A 15,882-nucleotide genomic window follows, 5' to 3' on the forward strand; every position below is an offset into this window, starting at 1 on the left:
CACATGCAATAATGTTGGTGTCAGTAGATGTGCTAATTTCAGAAAGATGTCATCATATATTTATAAATATTACAGAAATATCAGTTTAAATATTTCAGATAACTTCCATATGCTTCATTTCATTTGAACTTCACAACTGTTTGATTGTTCATGGGCATAAATAAGTCACTTTATGTGATTTTCCCTAGATTACATAGAAAATAATGTCGCAGTTGAAATATACACTAATTTCTGGTATAGAATCCATTCCATACCATCATAAAAATTGAAACCTCCAATATAATTGATATTTAAAATTGTAAAACACTGCAAATAGACTTCATAGAAGGCCTTATCATATTTCATTAACCGATACAAACATTTTTTGACAGCAAGAGTACTTGGCAAAGATAAACCTTTTTTTAGCTATCTAAAAAAGTACTGTGTTTGACACCGACTGCATACAAAAAAATGCGAGGAAGTGATAAACCTCTCTTCTAACTGGTGGTGTTAGCTCTATCCACGGTGGCCTCCAACCCCCTTCATTCTGTAGCACTCTAAAATGTAAATCCCCTGCCTAAAATGTATCAATGGCACCTTTTGATTAAGTCCATCATTAGCACAAATTCTGGTCTACATCTCCAAACTCAATCTGGGAATCTGCATCTACTGCACTAGGCTGCTTGTATCTCGTGTCTTCTGGAACACACTCTTCTCCCTGGTCCACTTGTTCAGCCTGGTAATCCATTCTCCAGATTCAAAATTCAGTTCAGTATGTTTCAAGGCCTCCTCTTGTGCAAAGCAATTGTGTTGCTCACTCCCTTATTTGTGCCACTACTTCCCACATCATCTGTGATTATTTGCTCACATCTGCTTTTCTTACAAAACTGGCATCAGTCTTCTATCCTTATTTGCAGCATCTCCACATACAGATTACTCAGTAAATGCTTGGGAGTGAAGAACGGATACTCTCTTATTATTATTTAACGGATTTAGAACATGGGAGATTGCCAGTATTTAGCGGATAAACATGCTCTGATTATTTATTGTGTTTATAACCCTGCACTAATATACAAAAAGATTCAAGGGCAAAATTTGACACTGATTCTTCCCTATGATATCTATGTCTGGCAAAAGGAAAGCAAAATGTGTGTAATAAAGCATTAGTAACCAAATTATCATGAACAAATGCATGTAGAGCCAGTAGAAATTTTCACTGGAAAGGTATTGACTGTCACGATAGAGTGTGTCAATGTAGAATACCTTCTGGAAATGAGTTGAAGTCTGATTCTTTTTTTTTTTTTTTTGACGGAGTTTCACTCTTGTCGCCCAGGCTGGAGTGCAATGGCATGATCTCAGCTCACTGCAACCTCCACCTCCCAGGTTCAAGCTGTTCTCCTGCCTCAGCCTCCTGAGAAGCTGAGATTACAGGCACCCGCCACCATGCCCAGCTACTTTTTGTATTTTTAGTAGAGACAGGGTTTCACCATGTTGGCCAGGCTGGTCTCGAACTCCTGACTTCAGGTGATCCACTGCACCCAGCCTTAACTATGATTTTTAAAGGAGTGATAGAAAAAAAAAAAAAAAAGCCTTTCCAAATCGGAGATGTAGCAGGAATAAAATTATAGAAGCAGAAAGAATCATTTCCTGCAAGCAGCACTGTAAAACTGAAACACAAACAGAAAAGAGTTGGGTGCAAATATGAAGTGACAATGGTGAGACCAGGGAACAATGTGCTGGAGAGACTTGAAGGCACAGCAAGGAAACACAGATTTGATGTGATAAGCAATAGGGAGCCTCTCTAAGTTCTAATACAGGGCAGGTTTGGGAAAACTCTGCTGTTTGCTTATGGCAAGTCTTAGAATCCTATGTGTTTTTAAAAATATAAAAGTAATTAGAATATGTATTGTATAATTATAGATAGGCAATTTATAGTAACAGTTAGTTTCTACTCTACACCAATTTGAATGCTAAAATTAACCAAAGATAGAAACTGTAATCTGCATTAGCTCCCTATGGAATAAATTTCCTTATTACTGCTCTGTTGTTATACATAATTTGTATATTAAACTATCTCTAAGCCAGTATAAAAATCTAATATTGGTTTCAAGACAAGCATTGAAATGTTCAAGACACATTATTCATCTGAAATTGCTATAGATACAAAAGATCAAAACCACAGGCCCTCTTTCCTGTCCCAAAATGTATTTAATTAATTGTAATATGTCCCAGTTCTATACAAAGGAGGTTGGGGAGATAGGAAATGATGAATAAAAAGTAAAATATTATAGTTATATATTCCAAAGCCATAGTTATTATATAATGATGCATTTCCCACTTTTTAAAATTAAGAAGAATTTATGCTTTATCTATGACATTAAGTCCTACAAAGAGATAATCATTACAGAGTAGCATTTGTATTTGCAATTAATATTTCCTAAACCTCTAAAAAATTTCGAAGGTCATCTCCTGTTGATAAAATGACTGAGATCAGCAGCTGTAAAGGAACTCTTCACCTTTACAAACTGAATAATCTCCTATTCACTAAGCCCTTAATCTACTCTTTATCTCTTCAGTGGCTTGTGATTGTCACATATTCCATTTAATTTCCAGGGATTTCCTCACCGTATGTCTCTTTTAGGAAGATCACAAGGAATTTGTTACCCTTGTGATAGGTTATGAAATAGCAGTCTGGCTTGGATCACTGTCTTTAAACACAATAACAACAACGACAATGCTGAATTCAAATAATAGTTTTTTAAAACCAAACATAAAAATTGGAAAGATTCACCTCAGCTTTCTAGCTATTACAAGAAAAGAAATTTCTGGCTTGATTTATCTAAATTGTCTCTGGTTTTTACCTCACCTGGCAATATATATAAAGTTTCAGTGTAATGTCACAGAAAGCTATTTTTACATCCCAAATCTATTGATCTTATAATTGGTTCATGAAAACAACTTCCCTCCTCACTTCTTAACACCATGTGTTTCATAAATTAGTTGCTCAAATCAGTTTTTTCCTCCTGTATTAACCACTAATTCAGCTTTAGTAATGATAATAACATAAGCACAAAAATTTAAAGCTTCTGTATCTCATTCATAATATTTTTCTAATTTATCTGGCATCAGGGCTTCTTGTTGTTTTTCAGTTGAACTAATTCAGTCCAGAAAAAAAAAAATGTATTGTTGAAGATGGAAGCAGCTTCCTATAGAAGGCAGCAGCTTTCCTCAGGAATGATTCATTTAGAACAGTGGCAGCTTCCAGACTTCACACATTACTTCCCCAAATTTGCTGAATTTAGCATTAGCCAGCTTGATACTAAAACACCCAGAACCAAAGACATGTGGGTGAACTCACATCTTCCTCTGAATTTTTATTGCAAAAGCTCACAGAGCTACTTTTTCTGATTTATTTGTTGTATTTTTACTTGTAAACACATCCTGGTGACATTTAGAAAAATCAGGTAGAGAGATTTCCAGTTTTGGAACCATTCAAGTTTCTTGGAGATTATGGTTAGAAACATGTAGGTGATGGAAAGATTAATTTGTATTAAATTCTGGATTATGACTCTGTTTCTTCCCTGTTGAACAGCATTACTAATGGGCATTAAATACCCATGATATATGATATTATATGGGGGTATCATATAATCAAGAAAACATTCTTCACCTAAATGGGCTTATGGTTCATTTATTACCAAGGTCATTTATTTATAAGAAACATGTTGCCAACCCACAACTCTAGCCTGAATGTGCTTGGTTACCAAATGTCTGTAAGTGCATATTAAATTGCATTTTACAATAATGATAGCAGTGAGCTGATGTTCCTAAATTTTATCATGGCATCTTTAAAACACATCATGTTACACAGATCTAGGTGCCTGTAATTACTGCCAGAAGCCAAAGGACATTGGTGGTAAGGAGTATACTCTTATATGACCACATGGCCTGCCATTTTATCTGATAGGATGCCATCTGTTCATCCTGCTGCCATTCTCTAGGGTAACTGGGCTAAAACCACAAGATATTAAAAATAGTCACATTGCTACTGTATTTTTAATTGACTGGATGTTTATATCAGTGACTTTCCTCTCACAGGATATTTGTTAAAATATTTTTCCATGGCCTTGTTTTAAGAGGTACTATTCAACTCTGTTGTATTGCATGGCCCACAGTCTTACTTAAGAAAAGTTCCCTATAATTCGTTAGACAATCTATAAAATGGTAGAATATTAAGATATTTATAACTAAAACATTATATATCATAGTAAGAACCTATATAGTTTTGCAGTTAAGAGCACTGGCTCCTGAGTCTGATTGCCAAGTTTGGAATCCCAGCTCCACTTCTTACTAGTTCTATGAATCTGGACGAGTTACCTTATTGTATTTAATTGTTCTCATCTGTAAAATAATGACAATAATTATATTTACATCTTTGTGTTGTTAGGAAGATTCAGTGAGCTAATATATGTAAAGAATCAAACATACTAGCTGACGTGTAATAAGCCTTCAATAAATATTAGCAATTATTAGCAAGAATCATCTTGGTTTGGTATTAATCTCAAATTAGCATAAAAAGGCTTTGAGAACTGAACATTTATTCCATTTTAGATGGAATGTGCTATATAGAGAAAAATTACAAGATGAATCTGATTTCTCAAATGTGCTTCATTTGATTTTAAATATATCCCATATCTATATTTTAAGAATGATCCATTTTTATGCCTTTTTATCAGTGTATTATGCAGTGTTTTATTATTGCATGTCATTTCCTGAAATCCTGTGAACCAAAATGTCACTGACAAGCACATACAAAAACACTGCTACCGCCTCACAGAAATCAAACAGAACTTCCATTTTATGACATATTTAAAAACATAATTTATCTTGAAAATGCTAAAAAGTATTTCTGTAGGGAGGAAAGCAATATTCTATAGCCAGTATATGACTTTATATGACTTTCATTAGTGTCGATTTAGGCATTCTACAAGTCTTTTGGACTCTTACGCTTATGCAGACTATAAAATTCAGGTTATAATTAATACAAAAAGACTTAGGAAGAAAAGGAAGTCAAAATGGTTAATATTCAGACTTTGAAGATAGGGATATGAACTCCTTTGCTTGATGATGGTTTAACTCAGATCTTTGGAAACTCCAGTTGGCTGAGCCCTCTCAGGTCCCACCCACTGCCTAACAACAGATGCTCTATTCAGCAAAATATGGGCCTGATTGGTCAGATTCACTCCATTTATTCACTATACTCTTTGTGTTTTCTATGTACTAATGTCCCTCATGAATATGTTCCTTTTTAGTATTATGAAATGAACTAATAGGGAGAAACTAAAATAAGTTACTATAGGCAAGGCATAACAATAAGCAAAATTAATATGCTAAAATCAAAGCCTTTATATATACAATTTGGAAATAAAGAAACAATCTGTTTTACCCAATCATGAATTCAATGAAACTTCAATATTAGAGGATACAAAAACCACACTATCTCACAGAGCTAATGATGTGCCAGATTAGCAATCAGACCCTACACATCTTTATCAAAATAATGGTACTTGATGTATTTATATTAGATTAAAAAAAACCAAGGTGGGAAAGGGGTTGTATTGATCAAGATAATAATTGCTGATTAAAGTGCATTTATTTAAAAATAAAATAAATTGGCATAAAACGATCACTATTTTTTTCAGTTCATTCAAATCCATTATTTGATCATATATTTTAGGGATACAAATATATCACTTATGCATGGAAAAGAGTCGTCGAATACATTTTTCTACTTGAATTTCATAAAACTCATTACACATTGCACAGTTGTTCATTGTAAAACAGCCATAATTAACAATTTCATGATATAGATTTAAAAAAGAAAAAGATGCATCTTACCTCTTCCCATTGATGTATGTATCTAATTAACCTTGAAAGTCGTAATAAACGCAAGAGACTGAGAATTTTTGTAAACCTCACAATGCGAAGTGCCCTGGCTGTCTTGTAAACTTCAGAATCCATTCCTTTTTCTACAATAAGAAAGATATAATCCACTGGGATGGATGAGATGAAGTCAACCACAAACCAGCTTTTTAAATAATTCATCTTGATCACTTTGGGGTCCAGGATGATTTCAGAACTGTCTTCATTGACAGTCCCAGTCCTAAAATTCATGATCAGGTCCAATAGGAAAACTGTATCTGATGCCACATTGAAAATAATCCATGGTGTTGTTGTTTGCTCTGTAAAGAATGTGATTCCAACTGGTATGATGACTAGATTTCCAACCATCATTATAAGCATTATTAAATCCCAGTAAAACCTACAACAAATAAAAAAATCAGATTTTAAGATATAGAAAATAACCAGCCTATCCCCCCCATGAAAAATTATTACTGATATATAGTGAGATCAATAAGTAAAAGAACAAAGAAATGATTTTATTTTTTAAAAATGTAATTCCTTAAATGGCTATATGTTTAAATCTAAGTAAAATTAATATATTCTTAAACCAAGGCATTATGATTATGGAATTCTAAAAATTATGTGATATGAAGCATTATACAAATAAAATCAAAAACATTCATACCCCCATTTATTTAGTAAAGAGGCAAAAAAAGCAACCTACCTTATACTTAATACAAAATATAGACAGAAACTAGAAAGAAGTATAAGATTAGAAGATCTGTAAGAAAGCCTTTGGGAAGGCTCTTTGAAGATGTTTTGAATTATTTTAGATGTCAATTTACCAATCATAGATTAGAAAAAAAAACCCAGAAATAAATAGGATACTCTAACAATTTTAGTTATGCAAATTTATCTCAAGGAATACAGATTAGTTTTGCCATGGAATCTAGAATACACTGGAGTTTTGCAGTACTCCAAATATTTTATGCTTTATTTTTCTTTTGCTTGAAATAAGAAAACTAATTTTGGTCTGATGCTAAAAAGAACTGAGCAAGTTCTACTCCATATTTGAAACTAGAATCTACCTAAAATTTGTGTTTTTATTACTACTCTATTGAACAACTACTTCAAATATATTGCCACTACTTTTCCATAAAAATTCTTTCTTTCTTTCTTTTTTTTTTTTTTTTTTTTGAGACGGAGTTTCATTCTTGTTGCCCAGGTTGGAGTACAATGGCACAATCTCAGCTCACTGAAACCTCCGCCTCCCAAGTTCAAGTGATTCTCCTCCCGCCTCAGCCTCCCGAGTAGCTGGCATTACAGGCGTGCCACCATGCCCAGCTAAAAAAAAATCTTTAACATTTCTAATTTAATTCTGAACATGCCTATGACTACTAAGTACCTTTTGAAATATTCTTATCTCAACTTACATTAAAATTGAGAGAAAACCAGGAACTTCATTGCTGGTTTATATAGCTTAACTAAATTAACTAAATTCACTTGACATAACTATAGTGTTATTTTTATAAGGGTTCTTTCAGTCTGTTGACACTCCTATTAATCAAATATTTATAGTTGTTACAGTATATACTTGCAAAAATGAAAAAATAAACACAACTGTATAATCATGAAATGTATCCAGAAACATGAGTTACTTTATCCTAGTCATAGGTATGTTATTTGAGGAGTTTTGTATAAACAATATAAACTTCCATGATAAAAATGTCTGTTTACCAAGATATTTTTGTTTTACATGAATACTCCTACTTAGACTATTTGAGCTACATTTTGGTGAGGTATACATGTGTATAAAGCTTTCAAAGTTACTATCATCTGTAATTAAGAATGACTCCTGAAATAAAAGTACTAGTTGAAGAAAAAACTATAATAGGCCCTATCTCCCCTGTCTCCAGCCTCAGGATGTTGTAAAGGATAAGCGTTTGTTATTTTGAAGATTTCACCAGTATTTCTGTCAAAACTTGCCTGCAATTTTTGAAACAACTGTACAAATACCCATGTCAGCCATACAACATGTACTGGCAGTTTAAATGAAATGGTTTTATATCTTCTCACAATGGAAATGCAAAATATACCATTCAACACAATAAGGACAGAGGAGAGATGTAGAGGAGGAGCAATATTGTAACAGCTATTTCACAAAGAAATGGCACCACTAAACTCTAAAATGAAACTGTGTGTACCCTGAGGATTTTTCACTTCTGGGCACTCCTATCAAGTCCCTTCTGTAAGCTTCTCTCTCTGCCCTCCCCTTCAAGGCTGTTGTTCCCCTGGGTGTCACACATAGCCCTTTCATCTTCTATTCTACGCATTGCCCTTGAGAAATATTATACACTTATCCATGCCTTTAATAATTAATTTGTAACTGATGACCCCAAAAGCTTTATCTTCAGTCCATTCCTATCTTCTAAGCCTCCTAATCCTCATAATCAGTAGCCCGTTAAATCTCTCTCCTGGCATATCTCACACTCATCTCAAACAGCATGCCTAAGCTCAAACTCATAATCTCCTCTCCCACATATATTCCTCACATATCCCCTATCTCAGGGAATGGAATAACTCTATGTGTGATTTGCAAGCCAGAAACCATGGAGCCATCCTAAATAACTCCTGGCCCTAAATCTGCTCAAACCCATATCCAATTGATCACCAAGGCTGTTTAGTTCTCACACCTAAATGTATGTTGTATTCATCCATTTGCACTTTACTATTCCCACTGCAGCTGTCCTCATTCAGAAAGTCTTACCAGCTGTTTTATTTAAATACAAGCCAATTAAATGATTTTATTTTACATTTTCTAACCTGTTCAAAGAAGATTATTACAGAGCCAAATATACAGGGTTTTATGGATTAAACGAGACGATATATGCTAATCCCAGGGCCTGGCATATAATTGTGGCACACAATGCCAGTGGCCTAGTCACTACCCATTTACCCTTCCTCACTTACCACAAGAAATCCAATTTTGTGGGAAGCACCCAGCAACCTAATGAAAAATACTCATTTCTACAGACATCTTTGCATTTCTGTAATTAAGATAGAAGCTTTTTTTGAAGGAAAACTAATATCCCATCCCTCAGAGCAATAGAGATGAAAAGAAAGCACCATTCATTCTTTACTACAGTAATAATGCTTATCACACTATAGCTTTTTGCTAGCAATACTTAATATGGTCTGAAGCCATTAGATATCTCAATACCAGTAGGAAACTCTGTTAAACCCCATAATATCCTTTTAAAGTAACATCGACTCTATTTTGCAGACAAAACCACAGGTGCTTTTATATGCTTACATAATATTGTCTTTAGTTAGCATGGATTCATTCCTTAGGTAACAAAAAAATACAATCATCACCTGTTCTAGAAGTGCAATATACCTTCTTTAAAAAAAGTAAATGGGTTCTTAAAAATTGACCTCATGAAAATCTCTTACCTAATTGCCCATGAGTCTTTCTTTCTAGCTCTTTACTCTCAAAATTTCTCTTAGATACCCAAGCTCCTTCTTTACCTTAACTCTCAGTTTCTATGTCTTGCACATTTTATTACCATATCATCTTTCCTATCTATCCCCTCCTTCCATTCTTATTTCTCTGGTCTGGGCAGAGCCACCTTCTGCTTGAAATTCCTCATGAGTCTCCTGCCTCTTCTCTCTAATCAAGTCCCACCACTCCCAAAGCAACTTACCTAACAATCAATTTGCTAGGTCAACAACCAGCACTGACTCTCTCAATTAAACGAAAACAACTTAGTCTGTTTGTCAAGGCACTCCAGGATATGGCCTCCTCCTGCCTTTCCATCCCCCTCTTTTAACAACTGAGGACAAGCATCCCATATCTCAGGCAAGAGGGCACTTGCTCATGCTTTGCCCTCATGCCTACCTGGGTACACATACAGGAGATATGATTACTTCCATTCCAGCTATCTTTCTACCTAACAGCCCTCAAATCCCCTCAAATCCCTTTCTACTTCTCCCTCAAATCCCATTCTGGCAATGAGTTTCTTAGTTTGTTTGTGTGTGAGTGTGTGTTTTATTTTTGTTTTAGTAGACTTTATTTTTAGAGTAGTTTTAGGTTCATGGAAAACTTTAACTGAGTGTACAGAGATTTCTTATATACCTCCTGCCCCTACACATATATAGTCCCTCCCCATTATCAACATCCCCCACCATAAAAAAAAAATTGTTACAAATGATGAACCTACACTGACATCTCATTATCAACCAGAGCCCACAGTTTACATTAGGATTCACTGTTGGTGTACATTCTATGGTTTGGGCAAATACATAGAGACATGTATATACACCAGTAGTTTCACTGCCCTAAAAATCACATGTGCTTTTCCTATTCATCCTTCTTTCACCTCATTTGTTAGTTTTTTTTTTTACAACCCTCAGAGCAGCATATATTCTCAACATGTTTCCTATTTTTGATTCTGTTACTATTTGTATGTGTTTCTTCCATCATTACTGATTCAAGTTATTTAAAGTTCAAAACTGTATCTTGTCTTCTATATATTTTCTGCTATAAGATAGATAGCATCTAAGATAGCAAATGTTAAGAATATTTATTAATTGGATTTTTAATGAAAACATACACTTTAATGGGGGATATTTAAAGAAAACCTTTTATAATAAGCCAAAGAGCCATTAACAAAGTAAATAATAATTTCTTATTTGTCTTGCATATAGATCTGGATTTTACTTATTAAGGGTTTTCATTTTTACAACAGAATATGTTAAAATAAATAAAATAGGAAACAAAGAGGTTAGAAATATGCTCTTAGGTTAGATATCTAAAAAACAAAAGAGTTGTGTATTTGAGATGTTTTTACATATCATATATCTACCTACTTCTATTCATCCTGCCCCAGAGAAAAAGTATTTGTAAAAGAACTTGCTTGGACTTTGAAGGCAGACCAGAGTTAAAATCCTAGCTCCACTAACTGGATGATTTGGAGCAAGATATTTAGCTGCCATAAACTTTCATTTTTTTCTACTACTCTTAGAGTTACTCTGTGTGAGGACTACATGCAATAGTGTATGCAAAGTGTAGCATATAGAACCTGTATGAAGAGAAGCCACGACACAAAAATGATAGCTTCGGAATTCTATCTTACACTGGAATCTCTGTGGTATCCTGAATAAGGTGCCAGTTCTCCACAAAGCCTAACGTCAACAATGATAGGACTCTTTACTTATTTCTCCTTCCTTATAATAAAACCCCATCAACTGAAGGGGATGGAGAAAGAAACTGTTACGTAGAAACTTCCTTTCTCTGAAATACCAGCAAAGCAGAGAGGACACTCACTGGAAAACTAATGATCTTTATAATTACAGCAAAATCATAATCTAGGTAACTATTTTACCTTTTTCACTGGAAATATATAGAATAGGCTAAATAAAATATTATCACTAATAAGTATAATATTAACTACTAATAAAATAATTTTCATAGGCCACTTATTTTTTATGTAGAGTGTATCTTCTCCCTATAGGTTTCTAGAAGAGATAAAGTGGCGTTGTAAAGATTAGTCCATGATACTAAATCAAGAAGAATTTCAAATTCAGTCATACTTTTTTTTCTCTACCCACATGCAACCCTTTAAGGCTTGTGGTAAGGAGAACTCCTCCTTGTTCCTAACAAGAACTTCCCACTCTTCTTAAGGTTTCCCAGCCCCAGTTGCTTACGTTATCTTCTCTACTTGAAACAGCCTGATGTCAGACATTTCTAACCTAAAGCTTTAATGAGATTTAAATAATCGTCATACTTTACTACTACTAAAGGTGCTTGTATTTACAATATTTTCTCTAAATATTGAATGAAAAATTCTTTTCTCCCCTCTCTGTGATGAAATAAATATTTGTCATTGAGCAGAATTGAATAAAAATATTTATGGTTAATTTCCTGACACGGTACCAGATTTACAGTCGCTCCTATTTTATCTACAGTTGAAGTCAAATAATGTCATAAATCTGTCCCCTCAACTCACACTTAAGATTCACTTCTAAAAGAAAGAAATAGAATTCCCAAAAGATAAATGCTTTTGATAACTTCTCATGAAATATAGCACCTCTTTGGCTGATATACAGCCATAGTGTGCTGCTTCTGTGATCTGTTACTGGTTTCAAAATTAGTGGTATTCTGGGAGACTAATTAACATCATTAGCCACAATATAAAAGTTTGGACCATTGCATTTAGAAGAATGGCCTCTTGATATCAATTATTTTATAAATATGAAACATGAATTGAGCATGTTTATAACAACTTATCAACCTGCATAAATAAACAAATAAATAAGCAAATAAATACCCAGCTAGATTTAATTTTTATAACAACAATAGTCCTCAAAATCATGTCCCAAATTTTATTTAAAACTGATTCAATTTTTAAAATCTAATAGCCTGATGATTTGGTACATATGTTTTGAAAACTAGCATAAGGTGCCTTCTCTTAAATGCTAGGTCCTCTTCCCAATCCTCTTAATACTAAGATTCACACTGGGAAAGATATTTTGTAAAATATGTGTATTTAGAAACTTCGCAAAAAAGTTTCATTGGCCAGGTTTGCTACTTGGTCTAATGCCTTGATGTCTCACAAGGCCAAATTTATTATCCATGGAGGGTGGGAAGGAAATATATTTTAAAAATCCAGACAACTCAAACATAGGCAATTTGGAGTGGAAATATGCTAACTTTCTTAAAATAGTAAACCCTTGCAAAATGATCCTATCTGAGGGAAAGTTTAGCCTAAGTAATGAATAAAACAAAGTTAGACTATATTTAAAGGCATTTAGATGTCTTCCAATAAACTAGCAATTTATCCAATGAGAATATGAGATGGGTGGGTGGTGCATTGTTTTAGCTACTCATGAAAATGGTTTATTAAATTAAGCTAATGAAATAGAAATTTAAAACCTATGAAAGTATTAAGTTGTGTACCAATCCAAGCAAAAGTAAACATGTTTTGTCTATTTCCCCCTTCTCCTGAAACTGTATTTTTTTATTGTTTGTTAACCTTCTGTCAATATTAAAAATCTTATATTGCTTCACATACTCTTGTTTGTGGGATTTTACAACTACAGCTGCTCACCTCTCCTACTTGAAACTCTCCCAAAGCTTTGATTTCTATGACTCTACATTATAATAATTCCTCACTCATATTTCTGTATTAGCATAGACTCATTTTTCTCAATTCTTATCTGACTCCTCTTCTACCATTAACAATGTGGACATTACACATGACTCAATTCTACCCAACTCTTCTTCCTTCTATTCACTCTCTCCTTCAGCCTCTCCAACCTCCACAGGTTTAACTAATATGTTAAGGTAAATGGTCCTCAAATCGATCACTAGCTTTAACCTCTACTATGAAGTTAGGCATTGCTAACTATGCAGGATATATAGTTACAAATAACTATATATCCTGTATAGTTAGTGGCTTCCAAATTTCCTGATAGAATAGTCATCTCACCAGACTTAAATCTAGACTAATTAATCTTCTAGTCTCAAAATAATTCACCTGATATTTTTATTTCTGTTTATTATAGCATAGCTTTTTTTCTTTCATCCATCCACTATGCATAAAACTTTAGAAATGTCCCTGACTCTTCTCTCTGCCCAGCTCTGGCATTTGATTACTTGCCCAGCTCTATATCTTCCCTAATACAATATTTTTCAAATTCAGCTTTTCATTTTGTTCCATTGTCATCATCCTGGATGAAGTTCTTATATCATTATTATGTTTTCTAATTTTCCTGTTTCTACCTGCCCTAGTAAATTGCCTCCTATTTATATCCACTAGACTTTCCTATTGCTTACAAAATGAAATGTAACCACTCAAAATCCTCTTAAGTATGTCCCAATTCGGTACCTGGAATTTTTTCACATACACAGTCCCAAGCTAAATTAAAAAGACTCTTTTTCAGAGTCATCATCTTTGCCATCCCCCACCCCAAAATGACAACTGGGATTTCCTTTTCCTAAACCCAAACTCAACCTCTACATTGCCTTACATTACTTCAACAGTCAAATAAATTCCAGTTCCTTCACAGAACTCCCTTTCACCTGATCTCTATCCCAGTTGGAGTTGATCTCCTCTTGTCCCAAATGCCTATCGTAATTTCTCTACATGATTTTCAGCATCTGAGCACATCTACTACTGAACAGTGAATACTCTGCCATAATATGATGTCAACAATAATTTGATAAAGACTGCTTAATAAACAGTCTCCAAAAATACTGTTTTAGCCCTTATTCCTAGCCAAATTAAATGCCAATCATCTTTATACTTAAATTGCCTAGCAAATAGTATATATACTGCTGATTTCCCAATGATCAAATTCCAAATTAGTATCTGCGTTAATGATTTTAAATTGCCTAGCAAATAGTATATATACTGCTGATTTCCCAATGATCAAATTCCAAATTAGTATCTGTGTTAATGAGGGTTTATTATAGCATTACACAATTCTAGTTAAAAATAAATACGACCATAGGTGGGATTTGAACAATGAGAACACATGGACACAGGAAGGGAAACATCACACTCTGGGGACTATTGTGGGTGGGGGGAGAGGGGACGGATAGCATTGGGAGATATATCTAATGCTAGATGACGAGTTAGTGGGTGCAGCGCACCAGCATGTCACATGTATACATATGTAACTAACCTGCACATTGTGCACATGTACCCTAAAACTTAAAAGTATAATAATAATAAATAAATAAATAAATATAATCATTTGTTCTTTTGGATGATTTCAAAATTAATCAGGTATAAGCCTTTATTTCTCCTCAAATGGTAGAATTATGATGCACGTTTTTAATAAACTATTTTAATCTTCTTGCTTTAGACAACAAGAACAAAGATATCTTTCAAGGGGACTTATATTGCATCATTCAAAATCACTTCAAATGAAGGCCACAAGTTTCACTTTGCAGAATCCAAACATCTGTTCCTCCCTAAATATAACCCATGAATTATATTTCTGTAAGTCTATAGCTTTTATTAAAGGATACAGACCGGAGCAGAACTCCCAGGGTATTAAGAACATCTATCCTGTAGCATTCTATCTTTATAATGACATGTAGATTTTCCATTTAAAAAATCCTTAATTTAAATTATTTAGAAATAATGTATAAAATAGCTCCTGGTGTTTAAATTTAGAGCTCTTCTAGAAGTTTAATCTAAAACTACTCCTTAACTTCTAAGTATTTTCATTTGATGGACCACTGAGTGGTTTTTAAATTTTATTTCCTGCTTCTAACTCTTGACAATTTATTCCTTTAAGGAAAGCAAAAATACTGTCAGTGGTCATGTCGTTCTCAACAAAAATGTATTCTAGTACCATTCACTCTAGTATACAATTCAGTAAACTGAGGTCTATGTTTTAGCTGTTTCTAAAGAAGGACAAAGAGAATACTGACATTTGGTTATCTTACCGATAAGATAGTCCTATGACACATATATTGAAGACATTTTATTTTGAAGCTCAACTGAATGACTGTGAGTTACAGACAGTTTTATATTTACTGATATACTTTCATCTAACCACTGTGAAATTATGAAAAGAAAATAGTGATTGAATTATTTTCTGTCTAATTACATGGCTAAGTTAAAGTTTATTCAAGTTTGGAGTTTTAATTTCAGATAGATTTTTCCCTCATTGCTATTGTAATCCTCCCACCACATTGCATATTTTCAAATCATCCAGTTTATTTTTCCTCTTGCTGATAATATAAGTCACCTCCCTGTGTTTTTTGTTACTCTACAGATGTCAAAGAATCTTTATGCTCTTTATTAATACATAAGATGCCAATGCCATACATATCATTTGGATTATTGTTCCAGTTTGCAGGTGTGATGGACAGCACAAAATCAAACACGTAACTGTGCCCTTCAGTCTTTAAAATGTTCACGTTTTATGGAAGCTTTGGAATGTGTTAATGATTCTGATTTCTGGATATAACAATTTGTCTTA

General features: G+C 33.7%; 1 protein-coding gene across 1 annotated transcript in view; it reads right to left on the bottom strand.

Annotated features, from left to right (window-relative positions):
• Positions 1-15,882, bottom strand: part of HCN1 (hyperpolarization activated cyclic nucleotide gated potassium channel 1) — a 441,433-nt gene that overhangs the window by 384,360 nt on the left and 41,191 nt on the right. Inside the window, exon 2 of the mRNA NM_021072.4 lies at positions 5,878-6,301. Coding sequence (NP_066550.2) covers positions 5,878-6,301 — 424 coding nt within the window. The remainder of the gene's footprint in view (positions 1-5,877; positions 6,302-15,882) is intronic.

Source organism: Homo sapiens, chromosome 5, assembly GCF_000001405.40.
Source record: "Homo sapiens chromosome 5, GRCh38.p14 Primary Assembly".
NCBI classification, from domain to species: domain Eukaryota; kingdom Metazoa; phylum Chordata; class Mammalia; order Primates; family Hominidae; genus Homo; species Homo sapiens.